General features: G+C 39.1%; 2 long non-coding RNA genes across 2 annotated transcripts in view; one reads left to right on the forward strand and one right to left on the reverse strand.

The window, feature by feature from the left end:
- Positions 1–20,566, reverse strand: part of LOC124906243 (uncharacterized) — a 207,146-nt gene that overhangs the window by 33,236 nt on the left and 153,344 nt on the right. The window lies entirely within an intron of this gene.
- On the forward strand, positions 1,129–12,171 carry LINC02017 (long intergenic non-protein coding RNA 2017). The gene is made up of 3 exons (NR_147142.1): positions 1,129–1,373; positions 9,675–9,784; positions 12,053–12,171. It is a non-coding gene; the product is annotated as a long intergenic non-protein coding RNA 2017 (long non-coding RNA).

A 20,566-nucleotide genomic window follows, 5' to 3' on the forward strand; every position in this document is an offset into this window, starting at 1 on the left:
AAAAATACTGTTGTTACTAGATTAGAGTATTTGATTTTGATAAGACATGTAATGTATACACTGTCTAGAGGCTAGGAATATATCTATGTGATTTCTGCACTCAGAAATCAGGGCCATAATAAAGAAGATCACCTTGGCAAGCTCCACAGTATGGTTTTTATTAGTATTTCCTATGTTTGTGGTATAGAAGGAAAATACATCTATGCCTACAAATCGAATCTCATTGACCTAAAATATTGCTTGCTTATTAAAAAGTCCAAATTAAAACAAAACAAATTGAATTTACAGACAATTTTCTCAGTCATAGATTGATTCTGCCTTATTTTTCTTATTTGATGTGTGTTTTAACAAACCATTTAAAATTCCTAACACTATTAAGATGTCTTTTTACGTGCCTGTGACATTACCTGGGAGAATTCAGCTACATGAACATGAAGCTCTAATATTTTATAATTCAAGAATCCAAAAACAATTTTTTTCCTAAAAACAACCAAAAAGGGCATATTTTAAGAATAAATAAATAAAAATATCAGTGCATCATTGGGATATTTTATGTTAAAGCTAGCCATGGCAGATCTTTCTGTGATGTTAATAATTGGTTTCTGATATATCTTGTGTGTGTGTGTGTGTTTTTTTAACTCATTTTCTTGTATCTAAAATAAACTTATTTAAGACACAAATGTCCTGCTTAAGCTTAGGCACTTTGGGTGTTTTGAGTCAAACGTTGCATTATCAAATATTATTTCTCTACATCTCTGATAGTTCAATATATTTTTAAAATTACCTTCCTTGTCTCAGAGAGAAAACTCTTTCTCCTTACATTCCAACAATTGTTCTGTGAAAGCTCAGTGTTCACTGGAGACAGGATAAGGGTTTCTGATAGATCGACCTGGCTTGTACCCAGCACTGCAGGCTCTTGCCTGCACTGCTGGGACCTAGGGCTGGTAGAGCTGTAACTGCACAGAGAAGACTGCCTGCTTCTTATAGGTTGGTTGTCGCTGTCTGGAAGAGTTTAGCGCTGCTCTGCATCTTCTGCCTCACCTGAAATCCTACGTGTATCCTATGCCGTTCCTATGAAACCAGTTTAGAACACCAAACATACCACCCACAGTTTAACCCTTTTTGGCACTCTTAGAAGCCCAAGCACAGAGTTCGGAGAAATGTGAGCACCTGTATGAAGAGAAGATGGGTACAAAGGAATGAGTGGGGGTTCCTCTTCACCATCCCTAAAACTGTGGCAGTATTTAGCAGCATCATTGATGAGGCTGGTCTCAGAACTGTGCAAACATCTGCCCTGCCTGGCCTCTCAATGAAAAAGCTTCTACCTCTTAACAGGTATTTCCACCAACTCGCTGGCCACCTCCCTGTTACAGGTTAGTAAACTGATCAAGCCTTTTATTTGAAAACATGAGGAGACACCTCCTTAGTTAAATAATAAAGAAAAGTCAAGATACCAAACACATGCCGAGGAATGAAATAGCTACATCAGCATAACAGATTCTGAGGCAGCATTAGATTCTTTCTGGGCATGTACGCAGTTTCAATTGAGTGTTCATTTTCCCTGCCACTCAATTTTCCATCCTGAGTTAAATGTCTAAAGGTAGAAGACAGACAAAGATGATTTCCCAAGGTTGCTTCCAGCTTCTAGATCTTGGTGCCTAGAGTTTAAATTATTTTGTTCTTAAAGTGGAACAGCTTATTTCTAAAACATTAAATGTATGATACAGCAGAAGAGTTAATAGTCCTTGAATTTATTACCTCCTTCCCCCTTTCAAGAAATATCTGACATTCTCTTCCAGAGCAGGGGTAATAACCTCATTCCTCTCAGGATCCACAGTGCTAGGCTTAAAGTGGGGGTCTAGCATATTCTGAACTGACTTGAAATCACACATTTGGATCACTTAATAGTTAAGTTCCTACAAACGTTTGGCATCCAAAGAGGGCCGAGGATACATCTTCGAAACAGATTATTTTTAAACTATGTGGATCTATGCATCCTGATGCAGATAGATCTCCAAGAGATCTTGAGGAAAAGAAAGTGTGGAACAATACTTTCTTCATATGATTCAGATTATGTTGTTTAAAAGAGAAGCAACCCCAAACTATGTGTTTCTTTAGGTCTGTATCTCTGGATGCAGATGTATTAGAAAAACAGCAACAAAAGGAATGCTATCCAACGCACTGACGGCAGCCTCTAGGAGAGGATGGACTTGGAACTTCATCTGACCTTTGTATTTTTAACAACCAAAACTTATTAATTCAGGACTTGCGTTCCTAAAAGTAAGCAAAACGAAAAAAGGAGGTATAACAAATTTCTTATCACCAAGAGAATTCAGAAAAAATCAGCAGATAGGTCAATGTTGCATAGTTTATGAAAGCAAGGTGGAAATGCATAAAATCAGAGTGCCGTGGAAAGGATAATGTTGGGGCATTTTTCAAATGCATCTTGTTCGAATGTACTCTGAAAGGTGGTATAAATTAGCAGAAAGTCACCCTAATGCACAGCAAATGCAAAGGCAGAGAGGCATTTGAAGGAGTCACTTATTTTAAAAACAAATCTTAAAGGAACACGTTTAAGCATAGAAGTTAACATAGATGTATAATTACACTGAAAAATAATTTTCATTTTTGAAATACATTTCCTTTTTGGAATTTAACAAACAGGTGAAAGAGATTTAGACTATAAAAGGAAAATTCGATTTAAGTTTTAAAAAGTTTGATGTTAATGGTTTTTGTGGGGATTTGAAAATTATCTAAAGATTTTGATGAAAATCTCTCCACATGAATATTTAACAAAACATCTACAAAGAGAAATTTTATGTTGGTTGAAAATGGAATTTTTCCACCCACTCTATCAATATCTTTTTTCTTTATGATTTTGTTTAATTAGTATATTATTTTATTGTGAAACATTTCATGGCCAGTACAGAAAATCAGAAAGTACAAAAAGCAAAAAGGAAAAAATGAAAATATTCATAATTTAACCAGAAATATCTATCTTGGATTATGTCTTTGGCTAACCCTCTTATGCATATATGTATTCATATTAAAAACGATATTTTTCAAAAACAATGTTAACTTAATGTATTGGAACATTTTTCATGCTATTGATTATTAAATATTTTAAAACTTGGGGACAAGAAGGCATCTTGTTTATCAAAGTTTTCTAGTTGAAAATTCACTCAATAAAAATCATTTGTGATCTCAAATCACTCACTTCATTTGATCCTCCCAAAATCTGGTGAGGGAGGAGGTGCAGGCACAATTGCAGGGAATGGAGCCAGAACTGTTAACATTCCTGGTGAGACAGCAAAGTCAGAGAGTGTCCACGAACTCCCCAAGTTCATACTCAGCTGGTGAGTAAAGGAGACGGGACCTGACCCCGGGCCTCCTAATAATAAATCCCAAATCCCACCTTCTGGACTATCACACTCACATGGCTTTCTCCCTTGTACCACTCAGGATTCTGCTCAAATGGAACCTCCTCAAAACCCCTTTCCTTTCTCATCTTGTTCCTTGCCGTCTCTGTGAGGACCATGACACTAAGTTGGTTTCCACCTGTAGCCTAGCACCAAGCACAGCATCCAGTATATAGTAAATGCTCAACAAAGGTTTGCTGATCGAACACCACACCATGGTGCCACTGGATCTCAACACGACCACAGTTTGGAGAGTTGTCAAAAGAGATGATGAACATAGGCTCTGACAAGCTAGCATATCTGTTTAGGTTAATCTGAGTAAACAGACTGAATCAATGTACTGGTTGGATTAAATTAAGTTCATTATTTTCATCTCTGGGGAAAATCAATAAAACAAAAGAAGATTATGCGAAGCAGATAAAACAACCATTATTGAACTAAAAACAAACCCCAAAATAACAGCAGTTGATTTTTTAAAAAAATTCTGTTTAGTGAAGAAGCAAAAAATTAATCAATACTTTTATACTATCTAAATAACCAGATGATAGGATAGCCAGACTCTTGTCACTTCCTAATCAGCTATTTCTATGTGTATGATAGAAAATATTGGAGTACATCTTTGCAGTTTGTTTATTATTAGTTACTGTCCTTTTTAAGAATGGACCAATAGGAAAGCCCCCTAGTGGCCAGTTACCGATTACATCGCTTTTTGGTTGGCACATTGAAATTTTTTAACTAAAAACAGTCCTGTACACGGCTGCATTTCTGTTTAAGCACTGTTTGTCAAAAGCACTTTTTTTAAGAAGCCAGCTTTTCTCACAAATGTCTAAAAGTTCTACATTTGAAACATTTAGTCTCTAAGAATTCTTTGTCTTTCTCATGTTTACAAGCATAAGTAGTTCCTATATAAAGCTAAAGGAGGGCAAAAACTGTATTTCTCTATCTTCTTGACTACTTGGTCTATTTTAAACGTTTTCTTTTTTCTAACTATTTTCCCCAGTAATATTCACCCAAAGAAATGTGCAGTCAGTCTCTACTAAAACTACAAAAAATTAGCCGGGCATGGTGGCGGGCGCCTGTGGTCCCAGCTACTTGGGAGGCTGAGGCAGGAGAATGGCGTGAACCCGGGAGGCAGAGCTTGCAGTGAGCCAAGATCGTGCCACTACACTCCAGCCTGGGTGACAGAGCAAGACTCCGTCTCAAAAAAAAAAAAAAAAAAAAAAAAAAGAAATGTGCAGTCACAGTATATTACTACACATTTCATACTGAAATGTCTTTATTAATTATAAAGTTAGTCTCCAACTTAAGTTAGTCTCACTAGAATAGTAGTATAGTTTTAAGTTGATACATTTGAAAATAATTTATTTGAATAACTTCATTTTCAAAAATACATATATAATTTGAATACTGTTGGGGTAAATGTGATGTCACCAGGAATTATAATACTGAAAGAAGTTAGTTCTCAAATCTTAAAAACAAAGCAACAAAATCTCAACTTACAGTTTTTGAAAATATAAGATATTTTTATTTTGAAAAATAATGTCAAACTGTATATATTTTAAATATATTTAATATTTATTCTAAAACCCATTTTCTTAAAAGTGAAATGTAATATCTGAAGCCTTTCCTGTAATGATAATTATTGCTATCTGCATTGAGCAGAAACATTTTAATGATCCTTTTAAAGGATGCAGTAAAAACAAAACATGCAACCTTCAACCGATTCCACCTTTGTATAAAGTAACTCTTCTTTCGAGATTCACATTTCATCTGCAGACTGATACGATGCCATGGCATTTCAGGAAATGTAAATGCAAACGAAAGACAGTGATGAAAAATGAACGACTGATGGGTTTTATTTTGTTATTCCAGTACTCTTCCTCCAGTTTATGCAGTTTATTTTCACTAAGCCTTGTTATCTCTTTTTGTGTATTGTATTCCTTTCAATAAATGAGTGGCTTTGATCGTTTTTCAAAAATGAAAACACATATAGGCCATGTGTACTCATATTTTTCTGAACCTGTACAGAACTATGCAAAACAAAAAAGAACACATCTTTCTCTTTCCAAAACATGGCTGTGTTTCATTGCTAAATTTTTATACATCGTAATTTCTAGAGACCTCTTCTTAAATTGTCATTAGTAGAAGGTCATTCTGGCCATGTGAATTATTGTGAGATTTTTCATATACATAAAAAATAGAAAAAGGCTTCCCATTCAGGTATTTCAGTCGCTTTCCTAGTTTTGGTTGATATGATATACTTAACATTGGAGCCATTTAGAGATCACCTGTGACTCAGTTAAGGCAAGAATGAAAAACATTTCTTTAAAAGTTTCTTGAACTCAATTAAATGGTATCCCTACCTCCCCCTTCTCCCCTTGCCCTTTTGTAGGAGATGGCATGTTACTATGAAATATTACTGCCTTGCTTGGGCAACTTTATTTTGGGCTTTAGTTGTGGAGGAAGTGGAAAATTTTAAACATTTTAACCAAATGGATTAAAGAGATCATCTCTGTGCTTCCTTTGCGTGGGGTAAAAGGTCAGCTCTCACGCACTTCCAATCTCCTACTTTCCCCCAGCCAGTTGGCAGTCCCCATGCCATGCTGCATGTATGGACAACAAGCCTTGAGGTCTTTTCTGTTAGAACATATAATCGCCCCGAGTTAGAAGTGGAAAATGGAAGCCTCTGATCATATGCTCATAAAAGGCAATTTCAGTGTCAGAACACTGGACTGAATAAATATAGAAAGGATTTATTATGAAGTTCTGTAGTGATGTTGGCACCAGCAGCAAACTGCTGGGCAACATTCTATAGCCAAAATCCAGGAACAAGCACAAACATTGAACCACTGTGTTCTTAGTGACAATAAGGAGAGTGACTTTATGATTGGCTGGCATGGCCACAAAAGACACATGCTGGCATGTTTCAGGACATAAATGATAGACCTGCTGCTGGGAGTTTATAATTATTTAATCAAACCCAGACTGCAGGACCTGGAGACACATTGTTGTCCTCCCAAGAGTGGAAAAAGGACAGAACTAAAACATTGACAGGCTCCAGGGGGATGTGGAGGGGTCTGGGAGTGTGGAGGTGTGTGCTTTCCCTGGCCAGCCAGAGACCAGCACAGGCCCAATAAAGGGTCACTTCCCTTGGGCTACCTCTCCCTTGCAGCCAGGGCTGGTAGGAGGTGAGTTACCAATCATCCTCTTGATGTGCTGATGGAAGTGGAATTAATTATGTTTCCTTTCATGGAATGAAACTTATGTCCTGCTCTGAACAGGACACCACTCATTTGATCCAACTCTTTCACACACACACACACACACACACGCACACTATTACAAAGGACTCCTGCCAGCCTCTTGCATTGTGTGTGCGTAGTTTTAAATTCTTGAAGACTAAAAAGCTCCACCCATTCAACCTTCATCACTGCATTTGGAAAGTAAGATGATGGACATGCTGTGGTCACGAAACATCCTGTGGCACTGGCTGTTTAGAGACAAGGGTCTGGGATGCAACTGGACTTTGTGCTTCAAATCAGCCTGTAATTCCATCCCAGACTGATGGAAAAAGAAAGTTGGGGATGGGGATGGGATTGAGGCTTTCACAAGCAATGATAGTGCATTTTGGTGGAAAGAGAAAAAATTACTAAATTAAATTAGCATTACATTTCATTCCTAGCCCCTAATAGATTTGGAAATTTAAATAGCGTAGTCTCTTGAATTTGGTTGTTTCATGTAAACTTTAAGTTTCTATTTTAATGCACCAAGAAATAGTGCATGAACTGATGATGTCATGAGGGCATGGATTTTTAAAAGGGATATTAAGTTAAAGCAAACTGGCATCAGAGAAAATGAATTCAATATCATCTTCATGTAACTAATCAAAGTATCAATTCTTTTATTTCTCTTTCTGTACAGAAATGCTTTAAAGAGTGGATACTACCAGCCAAGCAAACAGGAATTCCTCCCTATTTCTTTCTCTTTGCAATCCTACGTGTAATCTTCACACTTGGGATACCATAAAACATTTACAATTATCCAAATTGATATTTTTTCTCTAAATATGATTTTTTTTCATTAAGTAGCTATGAAAATTGTACAAGTGGCACATGGATACACTTTCATTGTAAATAAAATGGTGAAAGAAGTGAGAGCCCCCTCATTGCCCCCACTTTGTGGTTCTACTCCCTAACCCCAGAGGTAGCCATCATAATAGATTGGGTGTGTAGATTTCTTCCCCCCATATGTTCGTTCTTTGAAAGGAACAAATTTCAAAAACAAAGTATGGAAAATATTTAACCTTCTGCCACGATTATTAGGTTTGATGTTTAAGAGGGAAAAATGCCCAAACACATAAAAGTGGAAAATCCCCAAACAATTTGGTAAGATATGCATTGTAGATTTCTTCATTCTGAGAAGTCCTCCAAAGGTTTGACAGACATACTTTTGAACATATGTAAAGACATCTCCACTTTTAGAAAATAAACTAAAAATGAGGTCGATTTTTTAAAAAATACAAAATCTTTTATCGGTTTCCAAAGGGGGGAAAAAGAATCAGAAGGAAAAAAATTAAACCATACCATATTTCAACTACTCATGTATTATGTTCAACCAGTTTTGTCTTTTTTTTTTTTTTTGTCTGCAGTGCACTGGCATAATTCTCAAACAGCTTCAGGAGTTTGGGGATTTTTAACACAGTCTCTTGCCATGATATAAATGCACATTTAAAAAATTGTTGTTTGTTTTTAGCTGGCATTTTAACAGAATAATAATCTTCTTTTATTCCTTCTTTATATACCTTCAGTAATGCTAAAATAGTTTATATAGAATCTATAATTAAACAAAGATGTGGGCTTACTTTATAGGTTGCAGTCAACATTCTAATTTTGTTTTATAAATGAATTAAGAGGAATTTAAGCTAGCAGAAGAGGTTGAGATGATGGTAATGAACAGTCTGCTTAAGTATAAAATGATCAAGCAAACACAGTAACGAAATTATCCAGAGCATCTTGAATCTTCCCTTTCATGCCCTATGAAGTTCCATGGGAATTTCCGTGCTCATGTTGCAAGCACCTCCCCTGACTAATAACTTATTGTTTACAGTTGCTAGCCTGTGCTGAATTTCTGTAAGGGCATTAATTATCAAGAATGCCATTTTCTATTGCCTGTCTGAGTAAGCTCAGAAATAGGACGACATTTTAAATACACCTTTAGGCTATACTCTGTCTTCACATGATGCTAAATTCAGAGAACAAAAGACAAACCAAACTAAAAAACCACCAAGCCATTTCCTTGGCACCACATAGTCAACTAACCCAGCCAAAGTATTGAAGCCTCACGTTTTATTTGTTGTGTTTTTTTTTTTAAATGAGATCCAGAGAGAGAGAGAGAGAGAGAGAGAGAGAAAAGAGAGAGAACTCTGTAGCAAGAAGACACATGGTAATTCTACTTGAGAGGGTGCTGTAGGTGAAATGAAATACTCAGTCCTTGACCTTGAAGAATACATACGGTACGGCCTGGTACGGAAGACTAGATAAACTGCATAAGATGAAAACATAATTCTGACCACAGTCAACAGAATGAGAGTCATACAGTAAAGTTCTAAAGAAACTTCATGGAAAGAACTATTTCTATGTTGTGTGTGTGTGTGTGTGTGTGTGTGTGTGTGTGTGTGTGTGTGTGTGTGTTGTGCTGTCTGTCCATCTTTAACAGGAAAATGGAATTGAGTGATAGTTCAGTGATTTTCAACTCAGCCATTTTTCTTCTTTTAAAGAAAGGTTTCTCTAAATATTAACAGCTTCATTAAACGCATTCCTTCAATAAGCATTTCTTCAACAATTGTAATGTTCCAGCAATATACTGGTGAGAGAGTTAACAATAATCAATAGGACAGGGACAGTTTGAAGGACATTTGATAGAAAAGGAATCTGAGGCCCAGTAGAACATGTTCTGAGAATAATAATTTTAATCTGGAAATCTTCCTATGCATTGTCAGTGTTGAAGGGGAGTTTGGAAATAACAGGGCAGTACAGGGATGCAGAGGGCTCACTCATCAGGTTTGGGAGGCAGAAGGTAACAGAGGGGGACACTCAAATGTGGCAGTAAGTGCAGGAATTCTTACAGGTGGACAGGAGTTATCAAGGGAAGGGATGAGAGGAGGAGCCAAGCTGGGGCACATTTAGAGGAATTCCAGTACTCACATCAATGGGAAATAATGTTTGACCAGTGTTATTGTTTTGTTTGCTTGCACAGTGTAAGTCGTACTTCTTTGTCCTTTTCTGGAAATCACGAATGTGAATGTCATTTGCAGCATGCATTCGTGCAGTGGATGGAAGTTCTCCAGGGACCAGGCTTTCTTCAAGGTAAATCGCTGCTATAACTCCAGGATAGACAACCACATCTGGCTCTGAATGGGTGTCAGTAAATATAAATGTGGAAGTTTATCCACTGAGTACAGTCAAAATGTGATTCCCTTTAGTTTGAATTCATTGTTGCTAAGTTTACTGAAGTAAAGGGAAAGAATTCTCTAGAATTTTCTATTCTGGTACCACACGAAGTAATTAAAACCCCTACTTGAGGGGAATGTCTGTTTTTGGCCTTGATCATGTCATGTTGCCTAAAAGGAGTTTGGCTTCAGGACGAATTTCAGAGGCCACAGGCCAGTGAGTGTATCCAGTCCCGTTGGTGGCCCTGCCTTGGGTGGGTGAATACACCTGTGGAGCTATCAGTGGGTTCCTTAATATCACCGGGCTTTTCCTCAAATGGAGAGAGACTTGTTGGAAAAGATAAGAAATGTTTTTGTAAAATTCTCCTAAATGTGGCTCCTTTCTTTATTAGAAATATAGTAGTTTCATTTCAAAGGAGAAAACTTTGTTGCCTATTCTTCAATGTTGAAGAGCTGAGGTGGCATTTATGGGTTCTATATCAATATTATAAAGTTAAACATGAACACTGATCATCTTCTTTTAGCTTTAACCAACCAGTGCAGCTAATTGGCTGAACTAGACTTTGCACTGAGTTTCCTTTAAGTTAAAGGAGAGCTGGGTGAATCTTCCCAATAGAAGAACATCTCGGATTTCTCCCCAAACTCTGACCTACCTCACTGCTGGAGGCTTTTAAAAGAACAGACAAAAATTTCAACTTTTACAGCACGAACTTCCTTTAGGGCTTCCAGTAAGACTGCTGTGCAATACCAGCCATAAAGGAGAGGGGGGAGGAAATTGGAAAATAAGGGCTAAGAAACTAGATAGGGGATGGCAAGTAAATATCAACTCTGATTGATTAATGGTTGCTGCTAGGAGCACCGGGTTGGAAGGATCAGAAAGTTACATCTGGGGTCATTGGAAAGACCACCATGATTGATGATCATTGTCTGCCTTAGCTACAGAGCGGGATATAGGCCCGGATGCAATGACTTGCCGTCACCAATAGTTGATAACATCCCTCTGACTCACGTGTCCTGTGAGTCTACATAGGCAAAATTTTCATTTAGAAATAATAGATACTTTTTCAAAGATATAAGGATATAAAAGATTGCAGATTATAGAAAATTAGTGGCCTGGACCAAGCTCTTTCTTTAAGACTGCAGAGTCTACTGGGGAGGCCAATAACGCACATAACTAAATAGACTAGAAGACCAAATATAGGGGTCCAAAAGTGACTAATTCTCAGTAGGTTTGGATGTGGTTTGTCCCTGCCAAAACTCATGTTGAAATTTAATCACCAATGTAGTGCTGTTGGGAGGTGGTACCTTTAAGAGGTGATTAGGTTTCTTTGTTTTGGTTTGTTTTTTGTTTTTTGATTTTTTGAGACGGAGTCTCTCTCTGTCTCTAGGCTGGAGTGCAGTGGTACGATCTCAGCCCACTGCAACCTCTGCCTCACGGGTTCAGGCGATTCTCCGGCCTCAGCCTCCCAAGTAGCTGGGACTACAGGTGCAAGCCACCACGCCTGGCTAATTTTTGTATTTTTAGTAGAGACAGGGTTTCACCCTGTTGGCCAGGACAGTCTTGATCTCTTGACCTCGTGATCCGCCCACCTCAGCCTCCCAAAGTACTGGAATTACAGGCATGAACCACCAAGCCCAGCTGGTGATTAGGTTTTTAAGATGGATTTCTTGAGAGGCTGCATTAGTTTTACTGGGAATGGATTCGTTCTCAGGAGAGACAGAGCTTCTCCTTTCTTCTGCTTTCTGCCATGAGTTGAAGCAGCTTGACGCCCTCACCAGATGGACTGCCAGATCTTGAACTTCCCAGCCTCCACAACCATGAATTAAATAAGCCTCTTTTCTTTAGAAATTACACAGTCTTACTTTGTGTAAGTCTTATTCTGTTATAGTAACAAAAATAGACTAAGGTGGCATAGGGAAAATGTTCTGGAAAGGAGGGAATCAGACCTTGGCTTTAGAGGTAGAATAGTGGTCCAAAAGGCACAAGGGACAGAATTCCCTGCAGCAGGAACCCAGATGAGCAAAGGCCCTGAGATGGAGACGGCCATGGGACATTTGGAGTCCTGGATTTGCTGAAGCAGCAGAAGAAAATAGTGAGTCTTAGAGGGAGGACGGAGGTGGAAGAGGGAGCTGCGAACATAGCCAGGACGTTAAGAACTACAAGAATTTGAATTTTATTCTCTAGGCAATGGGGAGCCACGGAAATCTTTGAAGCAGAGGAGTGTCCTATTCAGAACTCTTCTATTAAATGATTATTGTGCAGCAGGGTGGAAGCTGGATTAACAGGAGAAACACTGGAGACAAGGAAATTCAATTTAAAGTCTACTGCAAGAGGTAAGGAGGGCTTGACCAAGGTCAGGGTCAGGGGCTCTAGAAAGAGGAGGTTGGGCACATGCCCCTGTGGGAGGGGAAGCTGGGGCAGCAGTGGCAGCCATCTCTTGTGTTCCAGGCCAGCAAGGTCTCTCTCTCAGTCCCAGACCCACACTGTTCTTCAGTAGGGGGCAGGAGGGCAAGAGATCTTGCTCTGGGGGAATAGGTCAGCAGGCTTCTGTTCTGAGAAAAATATGCCGACCTTTATCTTTTTCCTAGCGCCTTGACACCAACATGACCCTGACCGACATTTTCCTTTTTCGTCATGGCTGTACTTTTCCATTTAAATAAGATGCAAGCCCATTTCCATGGGGATTCCAGGAAGTCTGGAAGGGTGAGTCATCTCCCGACTTGGGATGCAGCAGGCACATTATTGCTCTGTTTTCAATCCTAGAATCTGGAAGTTGGGGAGGATCTTAAATATCCCATCTGACTTCCCTTAGGCAAGAAAGAAAGGTATGCAAACAGACCATCAACAATGCCAATGGGCCTCTGATGGTGAGGAAGACACAGAGGTTTGATGTGGGGAGCGGGGGAATAAAACTTCATGCCCTATCCGCACTGTGGCTGTCCTTAAACCACAGCTACAACAAAGAAGCCCATGTTTATTATGCTGTATTTGGGGAGGGAAGCAAATTGGCGCTGGATTGTCTCAGGCCAATAAAATATTAAATTGCTATAGAAATAATACCTTGTCACGAAAGGGATCCCCTTTCATGTTAATACTTGTGTATCAAATTAGGCTAATGCTATATAAGGCTGTTACAATACTGTGCTAATCCGGAGAGTGAATGAACTTAGATATGCATATTAGTATTTAGCTAAATTAATAAAACCCACAGCCAAATGCTCCACCAACTATGAGCCTGATGTTCCTAACATGGTTGTAATTTACTGCAAATGTCTCCTCCAAGTCAGTGTCCTCCTTAGGAATTTTTATTGTCATAGTCCCTCAGTGTCAGGTCTTCCTGCTATTGACTTAAATCATGGACATTTTAACCTATATTCAGATTCAAAATTAAACACATTTTGTAGCATGCTCAAATGATTCTGATGTTGTACGAGGGAATGTCTTTATTCCTTTGAGACATCTGGAGCAGGCCACCAGTCCATGTGGCCGATCCCTTTCTTGCCCTGTCCAGATGTTCCGCCTTAAAGAGTGTTGCTATGTCTGAAGCACACCAGCGTGATTCAGGAGCTTAGTACGTGAAAAGAGTCAAAAGGGCTCTTTTCACAGTTCCGTTGTTCACTCCCCTTTCCCAAAGATCAGGGAGAGGCTCTGAGGAAGATAGAGTGACTGAGCCTGTCTCTCTGTCTCACTGACAGATGTGGATATCCATCCAGGCTTTCTTTTCTAAGCCCTCTGCAATCCTTCCTGGGGTGGGGGTATTTGTAGTACAAGGACATTATTCTGAAATCTGTCAGTCTTCATGTTAAGTGGATTCTTACATGTTCACGCCTTGCTTATTTTAAAGTAAATTTATGTGTGGTCATAAGAGTGTTCTGAGACAGGGAGATTACTCCCGGAGCCATTCACTCTCTCAGAACGAATGGAAAGGGGGGCAGTTTGGCTTGGCAGTTCCTGAGATGACAGAGTTCCTTGGGGGCATTAGCCAGCTGTCCTGGTAGATGAAGGGTCTGGGACTGGTTAGACCAATCCTAGTAGCTGCAGTCCTACAGAGGATTCACCTAGAACAGCTCTACCTGAACTATGGACTGTGGACCAGCAGCATCAGCATCAACTAAGGCTGGGTTAGAAATGCCCTGTCTCTGGTTTCATCCCAGACCCCCTGAATCAGAGTCTCCAAGCATCAGACCCAGGAATCTGTATTTTAACAAGCTTTTCCAGGTAGTTTTATGAATGCTAAAGTGTGAGAAGCATCAATCTAGCATGTGGAGTGTGTCATACCCTCAAACCATGGTTCAAACCAAACTTGCCCATCGCCCTGATATAGTCATTACCATGACAGCCTCTTTCACTTCCAACCTGTATGTTTTAGAAACTTAACCATGAATGAAGCCCAAGTTCACATCCTTTCTCAGCTCCTGACAGTCTTTCACAAGCTGCCGGGATACTTCAGAATTACTAGTTTAAAATATAGGGCTGGGAATGTAATATGGAATTAAACATAAATAGATTTCATAGTCAAAGACTCATGACACCCACAAATGTGCTGAAAAAGATTTATATTCAACCAACAATATTTTACATTTTGATAAGCTGTTTGAAAAATGTTTCCAAAGCTTATTATAAGAGATCATGTCATTTTCTCTGCTCACACAGCGGAGTAAAGGGTAGAGCTGACATTACTCCCATTTGATAGAAAAGGAATCTGAGGCCCAGTAGAACATGTTCTGAGAATAATAATTTCAATCTGGAAATCTTCCTATGCATTATCAGACTTCAGATTGGGCATGGCGGGCTGGTCAGGAGTTCGAGACCAGCCGGGCCAACATGATGAAACCCTGTCTCTACTAAAAAAAAAAAAAAAAAAAAAATTAGCTGGGCGTGGTGGCACACACCTGTAATCCCAGCTACTTGGGAGGCTGAAGCAGAAGAATCACTTGAACCCGGGAGGCAGAGGCTGCAGTGAGCCATGATCGCACCACTGCAATCCAGCCTGGGCAACAAAAATGAAACTCCATTTCAAAAAAAAAATTTTTTTCAAAACCTTTCTGGTGGAGTGCGTTGCTAAGGTCCACAGTCAGGAGGAATGTCTATCTATTGAATCAGATTAGTCTGTCCTCTGGCATTCCATCTATGGGAACTTTCAACCCCACATGAAGTGGGAGGTCCAGTTCCCACACAGGCAACAGGGACAGAAGGGATACATTCTCCATTTTCTGGAGTTCCACCAGGCACCAGGACCATCTTTCAGTGGGCAGATGACCCAATACCCCACTGGAAGCCCAACAGTGTTTTGATTTTAATGACTCCTAAGCTGAAGATGTCCCACTTAAACCAAAGCTGGGCAACCACTCAGCAGTTGGTTAATACTTAGACTATTTAGTCATTTGAAACAATGCAATTAAGGATGAATCATGGCTCAGTAACCTAAACAAAATCAAATTAACAAATGGGAAGCACTCCCTTTGGTCTGGGAGGCTAATTCATAACCTCTCACCTCAAAGTTCCCTGAACCTTTTATAGATTTCAGGGCACCCAGACTCCGAACTCCTTCCCCATTTCAGCACAGACTCAGTTGTGGCTCCTGGATTTACAGCTGATGACTGAAAGGAGAGGGCACTCTGAAGGGGCTGGCCATGGGCACCGGTATTATAGGGAAGTGGATATTTGTGCAGACATTGGGATCATGCAGACTACAACATGAGTCCCAGCTCTACCCTTTACTACTAGCAAAGTGACTTTGGATGAGTTATTTAATCAGTTTTCCTGTCTGAAATATTGAAATAAGAATAGTAACTTGCGTGTGTGTGTATACATGTGTATGTGTGTATGTATATATATGTGTGTGTGTGTTAGTGCATATATATCCATTTATATATAACCACACACATATACTACACATTATCTAGTAAGGATAACTATTAATTTGTTATGCTTTTGAATCAAGTCTAAAATACTATTGCAGAAGCATAACTCATTACCAGATAGTTTCCTATATTAGATGTAAAACTCCAGTTTTCCAACATGGTGAAACCCCATCTCTACTAAAAATACAAAAATTAGCCAGGTGCGGTGGCATGCGCCTGTAATCCCAGCTACTCAGGAGGCTGAGGCAGGAGAATCGCTTGAACCCAGGAGGCAGGAGTTGCAGTGAGTCGAGATCACACCATTGCACTCCAGCCTGGGCAACAGAGTGAGTCTCCGTCTGAAAAAAAAAAAAAAAAAAAAAAAAAAAAAAAAAACTCCAGTTTTCCTCTTGATATTAAACTATGATAATTAATGTATTTGAAATTCTGGAGATTTCAATAGGATCATAGGAACCTGGAATGTAAAAGAAGTTTACCTGGTATTTTGGGTTTTTAATAATTTCTATATTTTAATTTTTGTGGGTACATAGTAGGTGTGTATATTTATGGGGTACATGAGGTGTTTTGATATGGGCATGCAATGCACAATCATCATATTATGTAAAATGGGGTATCAATCCTCTCAAGCATTTATCCTTTGTGTTACCATCATCCAATCATACTCTTTTAGTTATTTGAAAATGTACAGTTAAATTATTATTGTCTATAGTCACCCTGTTGTGGTATCAAATACTAGATCTTAATCTTTCTATTTTTTTTTTGTACCCATTAACCATCTCCATCTCCCTGGCATCCTCCCACCACCCTTCCCAGCCTCTGGTAACCATCCTTCTACCCTCTGTCTCCATGAGTTCAATTGTTGTGATGTTTAGATCTCACAAATAAATGAGAACAAGCAATGTTTGTCTTTCTATGCCAGGCTTATTTCACTTAGCATAATGACCTCCAGTTCCATCCATGTTGTTGCAAATGACAAGATCTCATTCCTTTATTATGGCTGAATAGTACTCCATTGTGTATAAGCACCACATTTTCTTTATCCATTCATCTGTTGATGGACACTTAGGTTGCTTCTAAATCTTGGCTATTGCCAACAGTACTGCAACAAACATGGGAGTACAGATATCTCTTCAATACACTGATTTCCTTTCTTTTGGGTACATACCCAGGAGTAGGATTGCTGAATCATATGGTAGCTCTGTTTTTAGTTTTTTGAGGAACCTCCAAACTGTTCTCTATAGTGGTTGTATTAATTTACATTCCCACCAACAGTGTATGAGAGTTCCCTTTTCTCCACATCCTCATCAGCATTTGTTATTGCCTGACTTTTGGATATAAGCCATTTTAACTGGGGTGAGATGGTATCTCTTTGTAATTTTCATTTGCCTTTCTCTGATGATCAATGACGTTGAACATCTTTTCATGTGCCTATTGGCTACTTATGTCTTCTTTTGAGAAATGTCTATTCAAATATCTTTCCCCTTTTAAATTGAATTATTAGATTTTTTACTATAGAGTTGTTGAGCTTCTTATATATTCTGGTTATTAATCCCTTGTCAGATGGATAGTTTGCAAATATTTTCTCCCATTTTGCGGGTTGTCGCTTCACTCTGTTTTTTGTTTCCTTTGTTTTGCAGAAGCTTTTTAACTTGATGTGATCCCATTTGTTCATTTTTGCATTGGTTGCCTGTGTTTGTACGGTATTGCTCAAGAATTTTTTGGCCCATACCAATGGCCTAGAGAGTTTCTCCGATGTTTTCTTGTAGTTTCACAGTTTTACAGTTTTTTAGAACTTGATCCATGGAAACATGCTGACTTGTCCAAGTTTGTGCCATTTGAGACAAAAGTGTGAATGGGATCTGTCCCCATCCAGTAATCAACTTCTCTTCAAAACAGAGAGAAGCCAGCTTTTCCCATCTGAAAAGATGTGTTCTCTATAGCAGTATAATTCAGCAGAAATATAATGTGAGTTATATAAGTAATTTTAAATTCTCTAGTAGTCACCTTTTAAAATGTAAAAACAGGTAAAATTAAGTGTAAAAATATATTCTATTAAATCCAATATACCTAAAATACTACCATTTCAACATATAATCAATATAAAATTTATTAGTGACATATTATACATTATTTTTTGTACTCCATCTTTGAAATCCAGAGTGTGTCTTACTCTTAAAGTACCTCGCATTTCAGATGCCAAGTTTTCATCAGACATATTTGACCTGTATTTAGATTTCATAAAATTTACAGGCAAAAAGATATATCTCCATACCCAAGTTATTCCAAACATACTTAAAGCTTTCCAATATCTAATTTAGTATTAATTTTTAAATGAAAATTAATTAATATTAAATAAAATTTAAAATTCAATTCATCAGTTGCACTAGCCATACATTTCAAGGCTACATTTGTATGGCTACATTTCAAAGGCTTAATAGTCACATGTGGCCAGTAGTTGCCGTATTGGAACGCACAGCTCTAATCTCTTCCAGCCCTAAGATTCTAAGCCTTGAGGAACATTGCTACAGTCTCCTACATAAAGATGATCTAAAGATGGTGATGGAGGCTGGGTGCAGTGGTTCACACTTGTAATCCCAGCGATTTGGGAGGCTGAGGCAGGCAGATCACCTGAGGTCAGGAGTTCGAGGCCAGCCTGGCCAACATGGTGAAACCCCATCTCTACTAATAATACAAAATTAGCCGGGTGTGGTGGTGCATGCCTGTAATCCCAGCTACTCAGGAGGCTGAGGCAGGAGAATCGCTTGAACCTGGGAGGCGGAGTTTGCAGTGAGCCAAGATTGCGCCACTGCACTCCAGCCTGTGTGACAGAGCGAGACTCCATCTTGAAAAAAATAAAAATAAAAAAATAAAAACAATAAAGATGATAATGGAGGAGGTAGATGGCTTGCCTGGAGAGATGACAGATTCACCATTAAGAGCTCTGGCCCTTGCTTGGGTGAACTTGGGTGAATGTCTTGTTTAACCTGCCTGAACTTCAGTTAGCTCGCACATGAAATGGGGATTATAACAATTACTTCATAAAGTTACCAGAATGGTGCACATGCTAGTGAATGTAAAGTGCTGAGTCCAGGACAGGGATAGTAAGTGCAGAATAAAATCTAGTCCAACAGTTTTTGAACAGGCAGCTCTACATTTCTAGTTGTTTCCATTTAACGAACATAAACACTTTACAAAGAGCTTGTGCTTGATAGTGGAGCCACTGCACTTGCCTCTTAATCTCTAGTCATGTTCCTTAGACCTTTGGAAACATTCCCCTGATATCTCTGCAGTTAGAAAGAATCACTACTAGGTGATGTGATGAGGCCAAATGCTCTTTTTTGACACCACGCTTTTGCATTTGCTGTTCCCTTTTCCTGGAATGCCCTTCCTGGTTCCCTCTTTTTTGCCTGGCAAATTCCTACTCATTTTTCAGAACCTAGTTCAAAGACCCTCTTGGGACTCTGTCAAACAGAATTATTCAAATCTTCCAAGCATTCTCTCATTTATATACTTCAAAGAAATGGAATTTACTTAAAAAAAAATGCAGTTTCCCAGGGGCAGGGAGGAAGAATAGTAGCAATAGTTAACAATAACGATGTCTGTTAATGTCTGGCACTTTACATGGATTATTTTATCCAATCCTAATAACAACCCTGAGAGAGGTTATATGATTCTCCTTCAGAAATGAGGAACCCTGGCCGAGTCAGTCCAATTTTAGAGTCCTGTTTTCAACCACTGTGCAGCACACACTTGCCATTTTGGATAATGTGACAGACCTTGCTATTGCCTCCCTCAAAATCCACTCTCCTTTTTTTCTCAATAAGAGAACTCCAGATTTGTCTGAGGTATCAGTGTGCCCAGTTAAAGAAATTCATTTCCCCAGACTCCCCTGAAGCTTAGTCATGTGACTCTCATCTGGCCAATGAAATGTAAGTGCAAAGTCCACTGTGAAAGGCTCCTGGGACAGATGACTCTGGAGAGGACTTTGTTCCTTATCATTTTTTTCTTGTTCTAGCCTAAAGTTTGCACCCGATGCCTGGACTCAGAGCAGCCATCTTGTGGCTGTGAAGTCAAAAGAGACACTAGAAGGATTACAAGACAGGGAGCTAGGAGGAACCATGGTCTTTGAAAGACTTTCTCTTAGGTTACCAATATTAAATCTATTTGATTCAGCCACTACAGTCAGATTTTAGCTACAAGCAGCCAAATGCAATCCGAGTTAATAAAGAGAATTTAGAGCCAGCCAGGAAACCCATCAGGCTACATTTGATTCCTTCCTCTTCACAGATTGCTAATTGTTAGAATCTCTTCTAATGTGGCATTTGATGCAGGGACTTAGCTTTGTCATTTCCATGGACTGGACAAGTATCTTTTCCTCTTTGTACAAACTGATTCTGTCACCACCAAGACATTTCCCAAGGAGAGAGATTTTCTTGGCTGACTGAGGTCATTCTTCCTGGACGACCTGCAGAGTTTCCCACAAATAGCATGGAGATTCATCTGGCAAAACTAAAACTTACATGACCAGAGTGGCACAGATTCCTGCCTATCCTTCAGGCCAGAAGCCATGCTGCGTGGAAGCCAGGGGCTCAGAGTTTCCAAAGCCATCAAACAGTCACCTACAAATGAAGTCTGTGACAGGGGTTGGCAAACTACAATCAGCAAGCCAAATTCAGCCTGCAGCCTGCTTTTGTAAATTAAGGTTTTTTTTTTTTGAAACACGAACATGCTCATTTGTTTCTATGTTGTTTGTGGATGTCTTTGCACTACAATGGCAGAGTTGAGTGGTTTCAACAGAGACTATACAGCCCATGAGGCCTAAAATCTTTGCTCT

Source organism: Homo sapiens, chromosome 3 (assembly GCF_000001405.40).
Source record: "Homo sapiens chromosome 3, GRCh38.p14 Primary Assembly".
In the NCBI taxonomy this organism is placed as follows: Eukaryota; Metazoa; Chordata; class Mammalia; order Primates; family Hominidae; genus Homo; species Homo sapiens.